The sequence below is a fragment of the Homo sapiens genome, chromosome 4, assembly GCF_000001405.40.
Source record: "Homo sapiens chromosome 4, GRCh38.p14 Primary Assembly".
NCBI classification, from domain to species: domain Eukaryota; kingdom Metazoa; phylum Chordata; class Mammalia; order Primates; family Hominidae; genus Homo; species Homo sapiens.
The window spans coordinates 173,032,059-173,050,426 of NC_000004.12; the positions used below are offsets into that span (position 1 = coordinate 173,032,059).

At 40.4% G+C, this 18,368-nt stretch overlaps 1 protein-coding gene across 7 annotated transcripts in view; it reads left to right on the forward strand.

Annotated features, from left to right (window-relative positions):
* The window catches only part of GALNTL6 (polypeptide N-acetylgalactosaminyltransferase like 6), a 1,228,156-nt gene extending 1,218,655 nt beyond the window's left edge, over positions 1–9,501 (forward strand). For all 7 annotated transcript variants that reach the window (NM_001034845.3, XM_017008244.3, XM_011531993.3 and 4 more), the window contains one exon: positions 7,875–9,501. In NM_001034845.3, coding sequence (NP_001030017.2) covers positions 7,875–8,042 — 168 coding nt within the window. In that variant the 3' untranslated portion in view covers positions 8,043–9,501. The remainder of the gene's footprint in view (positions 1–7,874) is intronic.
* The last annotated feature ends 8,867 nt before the right edge of the window (positions 9,502–18,368 follow it).

The window sequence follows — 18,368 nt, forward strand, 5'->3', positions numbered from 1 at the left end:
TTTTCTCAGAACAGAAAGAAGCCAGTTGAAATGCATACGTGCAACAGAAAATGAACTATTAGGTTGGTGCAAAAGTCATTGCAGTTTTTACCATTAAAAGTAATACAAGGGCTGGGCGCTGTGGCTCACGCCTGTAATCCCAGCACTTTGGGAGGCCGAGGCGGGTGGATCACGAGGTCAGGAGATCAAGACCATCCTGGCTAACACGGTGAAACCCCGTCTCTACTAAAAATACAAAAAGAATTAGCCGGGCGTGGTGGCGGATGACTGTAGTCCCAGCTACTCGGGAGGCTGAGGCAGGAGAATGGCGTGAACCCGGGAGGCGGAGCTTGCAGTGAGCCGAGATCGTGCCACTGCACTCCAGCCTCGGCGACAGAGCGAGACTCCGTCTCAAAAAAAAAAAAAAAAAGTTATATACGGTCAGACATCCCAGCCTGGGCAACATGGCAAAACCCCATCTCTACAAAAAAATACAAAAATTAGCTGTGTGTGGTGGCAGCACGCATGTGGTCCCAGCTACTCAGGCTGAGAGGGAACGATTGTTTGAGCCTGGGATGTCGAGGCTGCAGTGAGCCAAGGTGGCGCCACTGTGCTTCAGCCTGGGCAACAAAGTGAGACCCTGTCTCAAAAATATAAAAAAGGCCAGACATCTGTAGAAGCAGGACTACACAAGACCTTGTAGGTCATGCTAAGAATTTAGCTAAGAGAGTGTGAAGTGTTTGAATGGATTGCAGAGCAGGCATCTAACACATCAGGATTGATTTTTTTTTTTCATGATCCCGGCTGCTCTCAGGAGAATTGAGGATAGATTGTGCACATCACTGGACCACAGCCCAAAAATGCTGGTGAGAAGAGCAGAAGGAGGGTTTGAAGGTTTGCTGTAGCCAGCACCGTCTCAGCACTCACACCAAGGGGCTCTGTCAGGGCATTAAGAAACATTATTTCTTTTCTTTTTTTTTTGAGACGGAGTCTCGCTCTGTCGCCCAGGCTAGAGTGCAGTGGCGTGATCTCAGCTCACTGCAACCTCCTCCTCCTGGGTTCAAGTGATTCTGGTGCCTCAGCTTCCCAAGTAGCTGGGATTACAGGCATGCGCCACCATGCCCAGCTAACTTTAGTGTTTTTTAGTAGAGATGGGGTTTCACTATGTTGGCCAGTCTGGTCTCAAACTCCTGGACCTCAGGAGTTCCACCCGCCTCGGCCTCCCAAGGTGCTGGGATTACAGGCATGAGCCACTGTGCCCAGCCAAGAAACATTATTTCTGATTGGCCAAATTAACCACTGATGCAGGAAGACCAATTTTCTCCTCCAGTGAGGAATTCTAGCTGTCAAAAAAAAAAAAAAAAATGGAAAAGGGTAGACAAAAAGACTGCTTTGTCCCTTTTATGCCTATCAAGGTGTTATTTGCGTTCTCTCAGATGCCAACAGTAAAAATAGGCAGAAAAAGCCTCCTTGATTTGTCCTTCTTCCAGATGGCTCAAAGGATAGTCAAATATCAACCTTGTTCTTCTGCACAACCCTAAGAGGTGGGAAAGCAGATCTTTTAATTCCCTGTCTCATCCCACTCCCCTCCTGCCCACTCCATTCACTTTACAGATGGAAACCCTGAATCACTGACAAACTAAGTGACCACAAAAGGTTATTGTCAGAGATAAAACTAGGATTAAAACTGGTTTCTTAATTCCAAGCCTTCATTCCCTCATAGCCATATTAGACACAAAAGGCTTTGGACAGGAAGGAGTTCTCTCTTACAGAAACATCCTCTTCCAATGTATACTCTTAAAATGAATCTTTCTACTTACATGGAAATTGATAGGAGGGGGTAACTCGAGTCTCCCAACTTGACACAGAGGAGCTACCCTGAGATCCAGTCTATATCTAACTGCTCACTGGGCATCTAAACTTTGATGTCTCGTAAGCATCTCCAACTCGTCATACCTAAAACTGAACTCATTATCATTCCCACACCAATCCTGTTTCTCTTTCTGCATTTCTTGCCTGAATACAGCTTTTCCTCTAGACATCCACCTCCTCCCTCTACCTCAACCTCCACATCTCATTAATCAGAATGCCCAATGCATTTCACTTCTCAGATCACTCCCTGGGTCACCCCCAACTCATCCCCATTGGTCTCGTTTTTGCATCAGCTGAAATCTGAATCATTGCGGTAGCCTCTGGTGGTTCTCTCTTACTGTAGTCCAATGCCTTTCCATCCCTCCTCCATCTTCCTCACTGCCACCCTAACTATAGACCCTGTGACTCTTGTTCAAATCTCCCAATGACCATTCCGAGATACTTTCATGAGAAGTCAATCCTTAGCACTGTACCACCATCTCATCATGATGTAGCCCCTGCCTACCTCTTGGATATCCTCGTCTGGACTTTTTCCCCTTGCTCCAGCTATACCATATGACTTGCTGGTCTGTGGCACAAGACCCAACCTCCATCACCTCTGACAACATCTCCTCACTCTGGCTTCCTCATTGTTCTCTAACCACCAGGGTGCATAGCTGCTTAGGGCCCAGACCCTGGCCATTCCCTCTGGGTGGGAAGGTCTGAGACTCTTTGCATGGTTAATTAGCTTACCTTCTTTGAGACTCCTCAGATGTTACCTTCTCAGTGAGATTTTCCCTGGCCACTCAATTCAATGTTCACACTGGCCCCACCCCTGGCACTCCAGGTCCTTCTGACCGCCTTGATTTTTTTCATGTCACCTCTGAACAGGCTATGTGTTTACATACTATGTTCATTGCTCATTGTCTGTGCCCCCACTGCCCCAACCTCACCCCTACCTCTGGAAAAGAAGCTCCAGGAGGGCAGGGATTTTTGTCTCTTTAAGTTTATATTCCAAGCACCTAAAATAGTGCCTGGCAAATAGCAGGTGCCCAATATATTTTTTGTTGAATAAGTTGAATGCATAAGTATATATATTATTTTATATATTTTTTCATATGTTCTTCCTTAAATCTAGAACAACCTAATTCATATCCTACTCACCCTCATCTACAATCTCATTGACACTTTTTTACTACAAACATTTCTTTTTTTTTTTATTATACTTTAAGTTCTAGGGTACATGTGCACAACATGCAGGTTTGTTACATATGTATACATGTGCCATGCTCTTTTTTTTTTTTTTTGAGTTGCAGTTTCGCTCTTGTTGCCTGGGCTGGAGTGCAATGGCGCAATCTCGGCTCACCGCAACCTCCGCCTCCCAGGTTCAAGCAATTGTCCTGCTTCAGCCTCCCGAGTAGTTGGGATTACAGGCATGTACCACCAGGCCCAGCTAATTTTGTATTTTTAGTACAGACGGGATTTCCCCATGTTGCTCAGGCTGGTCTCGAACTTCTGACCTCAGGTGATCCGCCCGCCTTGGCCTCCCAAAGTGCTGGGATTACAGGCATGAGCCACCGCGCCTGGCCTACTACAAACATTTCTTGTTTACCTATTGGTCTCCCCTATGTCGTGGGTCAGTTGGTGCCTCTTAGGTTATCTTTCCATGCTCTCTCCTCATACACACCAGAAAATAAAAGTCACTTCATAAATATTTGTCAAACTCAACTGATGTGATTAATGTTATCTTCTAGGCAAAGGACCTAAACACATAGATCAGATACAAGATCTGATCATAATTGCACAGAAGAGCTCATTTCAGAGCCATAGATACCTTCTCTCCATAAATCCTTTCGGTTAAAATGGGAGGTACTATTGCATCAATTTAGATAACCAGTTGAGGCAGAGGCTAACTTTTGAAAATTCTATTTTGCCAGGACTTCAGAAAACACAATTTGGTGTCGAATAGCTGGTCTCAGACCAGATGGTTGGTACATTCTGATTTTTAGAACTAGGGATGCTCCCTGACTGAAAACAAAGTAGTGGAAAGGGAGGGAGGAATCACTATTACTTAGTTATTTACTTATAGGCAGGACACTATGCCAGTGATTTTATATCTATTAACTCTTTTTATCCTCAAAATAAATATGTGAGGCATACTGTCATTTACATGTTACAGATAAGTAACCTGAGGTTCAGAAAATTAAACAAGTTGTCCAAGATTACATAGCAGGACTGAAATTTGATGAATCCCCTACGCCACAAATCCAAGCACTTTCCCCATGACTGTTGTCTCTCCGCCCCCTATGTGGTAGTTTCATTCTTGGAATCACCTTCCTATATATAATGGACTCATATACCTATTTTACTATCTTTGCATCTTTAGCATTTGGTTCTTTTATGACCAGTGTGGAATCTTTTCTGTAACTCACACATTCTTTTAGAGTTCAGAGCCTACAGGACTATGGAACCTAATAAAGTCTAGCACAAACCCATGAGTGCCACAAAGTGTCACACACATGCCAATCAAGTCCACGGGCCTGCTACAAAGAAGTGCCCCTTTCAATGAGCTACCTGGAAAGGCACACCTACACTTGCCAAGGGTGGACCGATCGACTGGCATTGAGCATTGATTAGGAAGTAGTCCTGGATTCAAACTTTTGCATTTCCTCTCAAGGATTTCTAATTTTCTCAGGCAAAACAAAACAAAACCAAAACAAACAGAAAAACACAAAAATAGATGGAGTAGGCATCCAGGAAAAGTGGGAGGAGTAAAGGGAAATGCACTGCTGGATTACACTGTGAATAGCCAGAGCACAGGCCATGCCATCCTCCAGGACTGGACAAAGAACAACCTAGTTAAAAGCACAGAAAGGACATCTTCTATCGTCCTTTAGGGAGGGTTGTTTTAGAACAGCAGACTTGCCGAAACACTCAGAAGTCTATTCCACAAAAAAAACTGTGTTCAGTTCTGTTACAGCCATCAATGCTGTGACCACTGAGGTGAAGGGCAGAGGAGGGAAAGGCTGTCATAGAACCAAAGACCACATTCAAAAGACAATTACTTGATCCACTGACTTAAGTCCAACCAGGAAAAGCACCAGGAAAGACAATTAGTGATTCACAAGCTCAGCTGAGTAGAAACGTAAAGATGGCAATGATGTAGCTTAGCCCCAAGGTCAAAAGTGGAAAATGCTTGCTATGGGCAAGGCAGAGGGTGCTTTGAGAAGCTTCACCTCCGGGACTTGCTGAGCACTCCCAAGACAAGGGTGAGCAGAGCTCTGTCTCCAACCAGGGAACAATTAGTCTGTGGATCTACTGATCACTGTGGATGGTCTCTAGTTTGACACCTCGTCATTTGTCTCTGTCACTAGTGACCTTTGGAATAAAATGCTCATTCAATTTTATGACTAGGAGAGGCTCCAGAGATTTATCTAATCCCCCCCACCTCATTTTACTGATGAAGCTTCTCAGACATAGACAGATGAAGGGAATCCAATTTTTCAACTTTTATGAGAACATGAAGTACAAGAACAGAAAACATTCTGGATGGTTCAGGGTAGTGGTATATTTGCATACTCGACTTGGTTCAGCCCAGGAGTACACCTGTATTTCTCAGAGCATGTGTTCCAATATGGGATTTGGAAAAATATGATCAGTTGATGGTTCAGAAAATAATGTTTGAAAAAATAAAATGTTCAGAAAGTCTGGTTTGGCATTTGCATGCATACTGAGGTACACAAGCTAGGGAAGAAAAGAGAATAGAAACATGTCCTACTCCTTTTCTCATTTCTTAACTCTCATGAAGTTATGTGTTTTGAGGGGGAAATTGTGCTCATCTGGAGGGTCCACATGAGCATTTTTTTTTTTTTGAGACAGAGTCTTGCTCTGTCTCCCAGGCTGGAGTGCAGTGGCCTGATCTCGGCTCACTGCAACCTCCGCCTCCTGGGTTCAAGCGATTCTCCTGCCTCCGCCTCCCACGTAGCTGGATTTACAGATGTGCACCACCACGCCTGGCTAATTTTTATATTTTTATTAGAGACGGGGTTTCACCATGTTGGCCAGACTGGTCTCGAATTCCTGGCCTCATGTGATCTGCCCGCCATGGCCTCCCAAAGTGCTGGAATCACAGGCGTCAGCCACGGTACCCAGCCCCACATGAGCTATTGATAAAGGTAACAACAGGAAAAAATACAGATAGTGAAGAGGGGGCAAGAAGTGCATGTGTATAGAACAAAGTGAATTAGAATGTAGCAGGTCACCTAGAATTTTTATGACTATAACAGCTTAAGAGTGCTCTTTGAAAAACTGACCTAAATGTATTAGATCCGTGTAGCTTCACTATTGGTTGGGGCTGGGAGAATGAGCATGAGAGATGCTGGGGAAGAAGAGAGAAGACAGCGAAGGAGACTGCTGCCTGAGGAGCCACAGCAGCGGCTGGGAGAGGGCATCTGGGACAGCAAATATCTAGGACCCTCAGAAAGAAGGGCTGGCGGAGTGAGCTGCAGCCTGCATTCTCCTTCCTCCTGGAAGCTGCTTCCTCCACCCCAGAGGAGAGGGAGGAGAGAGTTTCTCAGAGTCTTTCCCTGGGGTCAGACACGGGTGGAATTAATGAAGCAAGATGGAAAGAAAATGGCAAGGAGATCTCAGGAGCCCTCTTTGTGTAAGGAAAGTAAAATCCACAATAAACTCAGGAAACTCATAAAGAGAGCAGAAGAGAATAGCAAGCCTTTGTATTAGGCACAGCTCTTTGTTTACACTGAAAATAGAAACAGGCAAACTAAATTGCCTGCAGGTTGCCTTTCTCCTTCCTTATTCTTTCTTCCTTCATGCAGTGCTTAACTATGCAAACATCCGGATCCTAAAAGGACATTAAATATTGGTTGATGGAGTCTTAAAATCCAGGAGCAACCCAGAAATGTTTACAAAGGGTGCCTGAGAAACTCCTAATTCTAAAAGCATTGCAAGTTTAGTATTCCTCAGATAAAGGTAACCAGAGCCTGTAAACCTTCCCTAAACTAAATAATAAAACATTACTTGATCTTAAAATATAAGCAGGGATTTGGGGATGTTTTCTTGTATTATTGGCATTATAGACAACATTAGAGGTAAAATTTATTACTAGTTAGGAAATTTTTCTTTTAGCATTACCTTTTCCCCACTTAACACAATTAAAAGAGGGTGTGTGTTAACAGAGCTTGTTCAGATAATGAGCTTGCTCACTACTTAAACTTTCTGTCCTCGTGGTATATTTTCATTCACTGAGCTGTTATCTGCATCATGTACCTGGGGGCTTTTTTAAAATGAATGTTGCCTCCTCCATTTTGCAGAAAGCAATGAGAACGGCAGCACTGGAACACCTGCATTATATCAATAAAGGGATTGAGAGGAGACTGAAGCTCAAGAACTAGCAAATTTGAATTTGTACATTCAGCTATTGCCTGTGTGTCCCTTGTCCCAAACTCATATTCATCTTCTGAAAAGGGCAGCTGAGAACCCGGCACTTTTGACTGCTGCTTTTTTTTTTCTTTTGTATTTCTCTTTCCCATTAGAGATTCAATGTGAGGGAATTATGACTCTTCTAGTCATTGTGTGTGCGTGTGAGCAGGGGGTATTATTTACTGCGGACTAAAATACAATTTTTTGTGTATGTGTTTCTTCCCAGATAGCTACATTATTGGTTACTTGCCAAGCAACCCCATATACTTACTATTTTCAAAATTTAAGCAGATAGCAAAAAGCTCACCACAGAGCAGAAAATGAATGGATTGCTTTTTTAAAAGAAGTGGATGATTGAATGAATAAATACATTTATTGTCTCTAATTGAACCTGCTTGTAGGCCCTACATAGTGCCAATACAGCCTACAAATTCACATTCCACATGGGCAACTCCACCTGCTATTGTTTGATTTGGGAGCTGTTCTATTTACACAATAAATATATACTGAAATATAAACAGAAATATCTTACTTCTGTATATTTTGGGTTGTAACCATTCACCACGTATTACAACAGTCTTTTCTTTTCTTCCTCACTCCTCCAGGACAGAACATTATTCCATCCTGTGAGCAACAGCTGCATGGATTGCAACCCCGCAGAGAAGAAGATTTTCATGGCCAGATGTGACCCTCTCTCTGAGACTCAGCAGTGGATTTTTGAACACATTAATATGACTGTTTTAGAAAAATTTAACCACCATGCCAACTCCTAGAAAGAAGAAAGGAAGAAAGAGTGATTACCTACAGGTTATAAATTAAATTTTAGCCAGCATCTGGGTCGAAGGAGTCAGGAATAACATTTCCTCGATCCAGGAAGGCTGGTTTAAAAATTTGCAAATGCCATGTCAAAGTAGGTTGTTTTGAAGAACTTCCTGCATCTGAAGAACTTGGCTGAGAATCTCACCAGCTGCTTCTGAGAACTCGAGACTAGCAGTTCCCTTGCTGGCCAAGGGCAAAGATAATTTAGGGACTTTTCAAAACAACTGCTGAGCTAATAAATCCTAGCATTTCTCAGGTCAAATCCTGCAGTAGTGAGTAGCTATGAATGGATCCTATTAACTGGGTGGGAGGGGGGTGAAAATGGAGTGCATGACTGCTCTGACAACCTGAGGATATCACAGGTTTAGAACTAGCCAAGCTTAAGGGGTGAGCTGTACTCTTTGGTGCCATTCTCTGACTAAGAATGGGTTCAGCAGGTTTAACCCTTAAAAGTGCTGCAGATGATTTCAGAGTGCTCACACTATTCTGTTTTTTTTATTTTTATTTTTAAATGAGGGTGCAATATCTAATGTAAGACTTAAATTACATAATGAAATGGACATCCAGTGTTCCCATTCTTTCGTTTATATTTGCCATTTTTTTTTCAGAGCAAAGTTTCTTTTTTATGAAAGTTCATGCTCCATGAATCCACTGAATTTCTAATTCAGTGCCCTTCTATGAATCCAGTTAAAAACAAAAGCAAAAGCAAAAATCTATGCTATCAAGTTACTCCAAAGAAAGATTTCACAGAAGCAGCAAAACCATATAAGATTTAGGAGAGGGACTTCCCTGGGAAATCTATTTTTACTTTTCTATTATTTTTAAAATCTTAAAAGTCTGATATTTGTCCAGTCATAATTTTTATTAAGCAAGGAAATGGAGTGAGTTTGATGTAATTTGTTTAGGAGATTCTTAAACCCAAATAAATCTACACTCCAAGTGATATGTGAAAATGGCTTAGTTCACTTCAATTCTGTTTAGTCAGTGGTGGGAGCTTAGAAGTGGTTTTATTTGTTCGTTTGTTTGGGTTTTGCTTTTGTTTTTTATTTTTTTCTTGTTTTTTTTTTGTAGTGTTGAATTAATGATGTTCTTTTATTTGGAAGCTCATAAAAGGAATTACCATTAATAAAGTGTTTCTGACACCATTTTCTGTTAATGGGACAATATTTCGGGGATGAAGAAAGGAATGCTCCGAAAACTAAATGGAACACTTAATCCTTAAAGCAATTTTTTACTGTTCAATAATATCACATTGGGGGAAGAAAACACAGGTATCAAGGTGGTTCTTGGGAAAAAAGAATCATGTTTATTATATATCTCTCAAGTTTTTTTGGTATAAAAATGTTTTAACTTTGCTTTCTTTTTGGTTTTTGTTTGAAGTTGGTTTTCCTGTTAATAAAAATTTATATAACATCTTGGATCTAGAGCATTAAATTTTAGAACTGGGAGGACTCCTAGGATCCAGTCCCTTTACTTCTTCAGATGAATCACAAAAGCCCAGAAAGGCCCAACTCCTGGCAAGGCTGATGTCTTCTGAGCCCTATTCCTGTGTTTTTTATCTTGTACTGTGTTGCCTCACTCTTACCCAAGCTGGTTCTGGATATTACTGTGATTTAACTTGAGATTTTCAGTCACTAGATGAGAATACTATGCCTCCCTGGGGATGCCCACTAAAGTAATATTCACACTCAGAAACTTTAATACAGTACATGAAGCCTCTTCTTATACATGTTCGTGATTTTTTATCTCCCTGAAACTTAATGAAAATGTCTAGTTAAACAACCAGGCTATAGTTGGGGAAGAGTTATTTCATTATCTTTACTGATTTTTCAAGCATTCTTTTGAAGAGCTATTTTTTTTTCTTTTTCTTTTTGATTATACTTTAAGTTCTGGGATACATGTGGAGAATGTGCAGGTTTGTTACATAAGTATACACATGCCATGGTAGTTCGCTGCACCCATCAACCCCTCATCTACATTAGGTACTTCTCCTAATGCTTTCCTTCCCCTAGTCCCCCACCCACTGACAGACCCCAGTGTGTGATGTTCCCCAGTGTATGATGTTCCCCTCCCTGTGTCCATGTGTTCTCATTGTTCAGCTCCCACTTATGAGTGAGAATATGTGGTGTTTGGTTTTCTGTTCCTGTGTTAGTTTGCTGAGAATGATGGTTTCCAGCTTCATCCATGTCCCTGCAAAGGACATGAACTCATCCTTTTTTATGGCTGCATAGTATTCCATGGTGTATATGTGCCACATTTTCTTTATCCAGTCTATCATTGATGGGCATTTGGATTGGTTCCAAGTCTGTGCTATTGCGAACAGTGCTGCAATAAAAGTATGTGTGCATGTGTCTTTATAGTAGAATGATTTCTAATCCTTTGGGTATATACCCAGTAATGGAATTGCTGGGTCAAATGGTATTTCCAGTTCTAGATCCTTGGGGAAATGCCACACTGTCTTCCACAATGGTTGAACTAATTTACACTCCCACCACCAGTGTAAAATTGTTCCTATTTCTCCACATCCTCTCCAGCATCTGTTGTTTCCTGACTTTTTAATGATCGCCATTCTAACTGGTGTGAGATGTTATCTCATTGTGGTTTTGATTTGCATTTCTCTAATGACCAGTGATGATGAGCTTTTTTTCATATGTTTGTTGGCTGCATAAATGTCTCCTTTTGAGAGTTGTCTGTTCATATCCTTTGCCCACTTTTTGATGGGGTCATTTTTTTGTTGTAAATTTGTTTAAGTTCTTTGTAGATTCTGGATATTAGCCCTTTGTCAGATAGATAGATTGCAAAAATGTTCTCCCATTCTGTAGGTTGCCTGTTCACTCTGATGATAGTTCATTTTGCTGTGCAGAAGCTCTTTAGTTTAATTAGATCCCATTTGTCAATTTTGGCTTTTGTTGCCATTGCTTTAATGTTTTAGTCATGAAGTCTTTGCCCATGCCTATGTCCTGAATGGTATTTCTTAGGTTTTCTTCTAAGGTTTTTATGGTTTTGGGTCTTATGTTTAAGTCTTTAATACATCTTGAGTTAATTTTTGTACAAGGTGTAATGAAGGAGTCCAGTTTCAGTTTTCTGCATATGGCTAGCCAGTTTTCCCAACACCATTTATTAAATAGGGAATCTTTTCTCCATTGCTTGTTTTTGTCAGGTTTGTCAAAGATCAGATGGTTGTAGATGTGTGGCTTTATTTCTGAGGCCTCTATTCTCTTCCATTGGTCTATATATCTGTTTTGGTACCAGTACCATGCTGTTTTGGTTACTGTAGCCTTGTAGCATAGTTTGAAGTCAGGTAGCATGAAGTCCTTCACATCCCTTTGTAAGTTGTATTCCTAGGCATTTTATTCTCTTTGTAGTAATTGTGAATGGGAGTTCACTCATGATTTGGCTCTCTATTAGTGATGTATAGGAATGCCTGTGATTTTTGCACATTGATTTTGTATCCTGAGACTTTGCTGAAGTTGCTTATCAGCTTAAGGAGTTTTTGGGCTGAGACAATGGGGTTTTCTGAATATACAATCATGTCATCTGCAAACAGAGATAATTTGACTCCCTGTCTTCCTATTTGAATACCCTTTATTTCTTTCTCTTGCCTGATTGCCCTGGCCAGAACTTCCAATAATAATTTGAATAGGAGTGGTGAGAGGACATCCTTGTCTTGTGCCAGTTTTCAAAGGGAATGCTTCCAGCTTTTGCCCATTGAGTATGATATTGGCTGTGGGTTTGTCATAAATTTGAAGAGCTATTTTTTTAACCTTCTGTCACAGAGATATTTTGTATAGGTCAAGAGATCTCGAAGCATTCAAGAAGCATACTGGAGAAAATCAATAGTGAGAAATTAACCTGTGTGTTGAGCAATTCCAGAGAGTGAATGAAGATTTATCTCAAGTGTTCAGACAGCAATCTTGTTGTAGAATTAGATGATCCTATAAAAATTCACATTATGTCATTAAACAGCTGACTGCTATTTACAGTTCTATGAAAGAGACAACCCTGGGTTCTGTACCCTGCAAAGCTCAGATTCGCAATGATCTTGTAGGATGCTATAATCATGGAAAGCTAGCCATAACATGTTTGGCTCTGTCCTTTGAGAAAGCCTGAATATATTGCATTATTTTGGTGTGACACACAGAGGTCAACCAAGATTGGTCTCTTGATCTCTGAATAAAATAATGTAATATTTTGGGGCCTATTTGAGGGTGGAAGGTGAGAAGAGGGAGAGGATCAAGAAAAATAACTTACTGGTACTGGGCTTAATACCTGGGTGATGAAATAATCTGTACAACAAATCGCCATGACACAAGTTTACTAATATAACAAACCTGCACATGCACTCCTGAACTTAAAAGTTTTAAAAAATTAAATTAAATTTTTTAAATGTAATATAAAAAATTAATTTTTAAATGTAATATAAAAAAATAATTTTTTAAATGTAATATAAAAAATTAATTTTTTAAATGTAATATAAAAAATTAATTTTTTAAATGTAATATAAAAAATTAATTTTTTAAATTAAGGAATGCTTGAGACATTGAGGCCAAAATTAAAACTCTAAACTGTCAAGCAACTGTTAAATGTGTGCAAATAGGAAACAAATAGAATGAAATGAAGCCTCGAGAACCTACCCCTAAGCCAAAGGGCACAACATTGCTAATAAGCACATCTGAGGAGGCATTTCCACTCCACTGAAGGTTAAGACTCTGTCTACCCAAAGCACCGCTACTACCATGCTGAAAAGTAGAAAACTATGTATGTTGGTATGTTTATTTAACAAAGGGGACTGAACAATCCTCAGAAAGACTCTCTTTCCTGGAAATAACATGATTTGAAAATTGGACAGTAGGCCAGGCACATGGGTCACACTTGTAATCTCAGCACTTTGGGAGGCCGAGGCGGGCGGATCACGAGGTCAAGAGATCGAGGCCATCCTGGCCAACATGGTGAAACCCCGTCTCTACTAAAAATACAAAAATTAGCTGGGCATGGTGGTGTGCACCTGTAGTCCCAGCTACTAGGGAGGCTGAAGCAGGAGAATCATTTGAACCCAGGAGGCAGAGGTTGCAGTGAGCCGAGATCGTGCCACTGCATTCCAGCCTGGCGACAGAGCAAGACTCTGTCTCAAAAAAATAATAATAATAAATAAAAATAAATTGGACAGTAGAGTACTGACCTACCCTTTTATCAGAATGGGAGGAAAAATCATAATCTGGCCTTGGAAATTGCTACTTCTCCATCATAAGACATGGTTTTGCCAGAATAATTAATTTTTAAAATCTTTTTTATGTATTTACAAAGAAAAAGCTGTGCTTTAAAGCAATCATGAACTAAACATAGGACTTACACTTTTTTCAAGGCTGGATTAATACCCTGGCAATAGCAATGTATTGGCTTCTATGTCCACTGGTATTTACTTAAAAACATTAATATGATCACATAACTGTTTTTAAAAGTATTCACTATATCAGAAGCTTCAGGGAGTAATGCAAGTTCCAGAATTGCTTTATGAATTGATAACCTAAAACTTTATGCAATAAATGAATAACAGAAAATGAAAATGGACCTACAAGCAATGAAAGAGTGTGTTAGGCCCGTTCTTCTCATGTTTCTTGGAAAACATGAAACCCATGCCAACACTTGACATCATTTCCTTTAGGAGCAATGTTTTAAAAGAAGCCAAATATAAATAAGTAAATACCTATTAATATTTTGTGCTTCTTCCTCTCAGATGAAAAACTTTTATTTCTATCTTTTTATAAATATCTCCATAAGGAAATAGTAAAAAAGAATGCTTTCTTGGAAAAATAAGCTCTATGAAGTTTATGGCTGACCTATCAAAAGAGTTAGCGCCCCAGGCGCAGTGGCTCACACCTATAATCCCAGCACTGTGGGAAGCCAAGGTGGGAGGATCACTTGAGCCCAGGAGTTCAAGATCAGCCTGGGCAACATAATGAAACCTCGCCTCTACAAAAAATAAAAAAAATTAGCTGGGTGTCATAACACATGCCTATAATCCCAGCTACTGGGGAGGCTGAGGCGGGAGGATCACTTGAGCCCAGGAGGTTGAGGCTGCAGTGAGCCATGATCGCACCACTGCACTCCAGCCTAGGTGACAGTGAGATCCTGTCTTTAAAAAAAAAAAAAAAAATTCAATCACACTTTGATTACAAAGCTGGCTATCCAGCAGTCATAGAGGGCCACACCTGCCACTGTGGGACATTCTTGGCCCAGGATATCACACACCTAAGGACTCAGAAGAAAGTTGATGATAAGGCTATGCCAGATGTGCCTTTGACTTCTTGTCTTACTGCAGAATCTCCCCCAGAACTAGGCAGTTCACCTGACCCTCCCCTGAAGAAGAGTGCTAGGTTATATTTTTTCAGAATTTAGAATCATCCTAACAATATGACATTGTGAACATTGATTTATCCCTAAAAACTCATTTAGTAAAATGTCTTTAGGCTTGTTACCCTGGCAGGATTATGAGGCTGCAACGCGCTTCCATAAACACATGCTGGAGATATGCTGGAAATAAAGCATTTCTTATAAATCATGAGAAAGAATGCCTCAAAGGGAAAATATTTTTAAGTGATTCCCTATGATTCTGGGAGTACATATAAATGGAGATAAGTAAATTGTATCTCTCAACATGGGGCATGCTTCATTCTCTCCCTTCACCTCATCGACCAGTCCTGCTCCTGCCATCATTCCTCTCAGATGACACCACCAACTGTAATTACTCTCCATGTGTGAAACGGTGGCCGAGGACACTGAAGCGTGACAAGTGGCCAGTCTTTCCCACACTGCCGACATTGGAAGATTGCTCTTTGATTTATGTCTATAGCCTTTGCTTGCAGAACTGGGAGCTGTTTGCAACTCTATTTGGTAGACTTGACATTGACCTGAAGCTTTTATTCATAGTCACTCATCTCTGAGCTTGACATACCAGACTGGTGTGTCTGGTACTGCAGCCTCTTGGCAGACAACAGCTCAGGCACATGTTTGATGCTTCACTTCAGAGAAACCTGGAAACATTTCTTCCATCCCTGCTGCCTGAAGTTGCCTGCTTCTTCCCAAAGCACAATAGCTTCCTGGGCTTTCCACAGGCCTCTGCTGTCCTTCTTTGCTCATTTCAACGTGGTTCTCCAACTGACCTCAGTACAGAAAGGCTGGTTATATTTCAGAATCTTTTTGTCGATGAGTTTATTCTGACTTTACTCACCTTGAGGGGGCTATTCATAACTAAACAGCTTAGGTGCTGGGTTTACCTATGTTACTTTATGCGTATGATTTTTGTCCTGTGTGATTTTTAATAATGCCCCTTTTACTGTTTTTTTAAATTTTTACTTTTATTATTTTTGAGAGGGAGTCTTGCTCTGTCACGCAGGCTGGAGAGAAGTGGTGCAATCTTGGCTGACTGCAGCCTCTGCCTCCCAGGTTCAAGCAATTCTTGTGCCTCAGCCTCCCGAGTAGCTGGAATTACAGGCATGTGCCACCACACTTCACTAATTTTTATATTTTTAGTAGAGACATGGTCTCACCATGTTGACCAGGCTAGTCTCGAATTCCTGACCCCAAGTGATCCACCTACCTTGGCCTCCCAAAGTGCTGGGATTACAGACCTGAGTCACTGCATGCCAGCCTGTTTTTATTTTTTAGAGACAGGGTCTTGCTCTGTCGCCCAGGCTGGAGTGCAGTGGTGCAATCTTAGTTCACTGCAACCTCAAACTCCAGGGCTCGGGTGATCTTCTCGCCTTGGCTTCCCAAAGTGCTGGGGTTACAGGTGCGCACCACCATGCCTGGCCCCTTTTACTCTTAAAAGTGTTCTAGTTTCAGTAACGAATTAAATACTCACCCTATTTATAATCCACGTGCCTGTTTATAATTCCTGTAGGAAAGAAAATGTATTTTGCTTATTAAGGCTTACAGTCTACAAGAAATCAACTCGACTTATTCCTTCCCTTCAAACAGGACCAGACCAAAATCAGCTTCTTGATGACTGTGTATTGCATTCACACGGGTCTTTACAAGTTACTTAATGAAAGCTTTGTAATCAAGAGTTCTATATCCACCTAAATCTCTTTGCTGAATGAAGTCTAATTTAAATGATTTTTTCATAATTTAAAAAATTTATTTGAAATCAATGCAGTCATTTTATATTTTTTCAAGCTCAAAACAGTAGATCGCCAACATGGCCTATTAACCACACTATTAATTCTCAATATTATGGTAAGGTGTAGATAGATAGATGATAGATAGATAGATAGATAGATAGATGGTAGATAGATGATGGGTGGACATGCTATTTGCATTATTGCTTTTGTTTTTCTAAGCAATTTTATATGTATTATCTCACTCCACACTTATAACAATCTCTGGTGTAGATAATATTATAATCCTCATGAAAAAAACTGAAGGACTCAGAGTTAAGGGGCTTGCAAGGGGCTAGCAAGTTAACAGCAGAATCAGGACTAGATAGATTCAGGCCTTCTAATATGTAGACCTCTGTTCCTTCCATTCTCCATGGTAGTTTATACCTCACTACAGGGTCATTCACCCAGAGCAAAGCCCATATGAGTTGTATGGAGGTACCTCAAAATAGCAAGATCACTCATTCCTTAGGGACTTCTGTTTTTAACCCCTTAATTATGTTTGTTCTTCTCTGTACCTGTGTGTTTTTGTTGATTTTCCCACAAGCTTATTAAAGTAAGAACTGAATCCAGGATTAGTCCTTCTTAATGAGATTTCTAAGGTACTTTTAAGAAAAGAAGTGATCTATTAAAGCTATTTGCATAGCTCTAGATGACAAATCCAAAAGCAAATACTGTGTTCTTGGTAATTATCAATGGGTTCAGTCCTCAGGGAGAGGAAAACAGTCATTAAGCAAAGAATTTGCACTCACTTCGCAGTAAGACTCCAAGCTGACCTTCTTTTAATAGTCTTATTTCTGAAAAGTTGTCAGGCACATCTCTTAGCCATCTGAGACTCTCGGTCTGCACTGATGTGAATTCTCTCTGGCAGTTTTTCTCTTCTGAGGGTACAAGTTAAACATGTGTATTACTAGGCATTTTGGTCCGTTTGGGCTGCTTTAACAAAATATCATACACTGGGTAACTTACAGATAATAGGAATGTATTTCTTACAGTTCTGGAGGCTGGGAAGTCCAAGATGGAGGAGCAGGCAGATTCAGTGTCTGCTGAGGCCCCAGTTTCTGGTTTAAATAAAGATCACATCTTCTCACTGTGGCCTCACATAGTGAAAGGGGCAAGGGAGCTCTCAGGGGCCTCTTTCTTAAGGGCACTAATCCCAATTATGAAAGCTCTGCCTTCATGACCTCATCACTTCCTAAAAGGTCTCCCTCCTAATACCATCACTGTGGAGGTCAGGATTTCAATATATAAATTTGGGGGGTAGGGACACAAACATTTAGAATATAGCACCAGGTCTTACCCCAAATCTACTATATCAGAATTTCTGGGTTAGGCCACTAGATACAGAAAATTCTATTATCAAAGAGATAAATAATTGCTTTGTGCCCCAGTTCCTAATTTCCTACCACTAGCAAATCCAAGTTAATTCTCTGACATGGTTGTTCACAAATAAACACTGCAGATGTCTGGAAGAATGATCAGTTGTAATCCGAAGCTATTATAAATTTGCATTGAGAGAAACATGCCTAAGAACATTTTATTTCAAAAATCCTCTGGCTTTTGTTAGGTCAGTGATCATTGAACCTTAGTGTTTAAACACCTGGAGGTAATGTTAAAACACAGATTGCTGGGCCACCCCTTAGTGATGGAAATGAGGCTCAAGAATTTACATTTCCAACATGTTGCTAGATGATGCTGATGCCGATGGTCCACATTTGGACCACATTTGGAGTCCACATTTTGAAAGCTATTGGTTCAGACCAATGGTCTCACCACTTCGAAAATATCTTCTTAAAGATAATTTTGTTAATGTTACATGTGTTTAGAAAGCCTTAGTTATATTTAAGAGGCATCTATTGGAAATGATAAAACCCCAACACACTCAAAATTCAAACAAGCGTTAATTTAATCCAATAAATATTTATAGCTGGAAGAAAGTTTCTCCTATAAATTCTTTAAAGCAGGATCACAGAATTTGAAGACCAAGAATAGGCAGTATTATGGTATCACAGTAAATATCTTTTCAATCACTTAAATTTCTCAATTAAAGTATAACAAATACATCAAGACCCCTACTTGAAGTGCCTGGTATTGAGTCTCACATTAATAATCTGATATTATTGT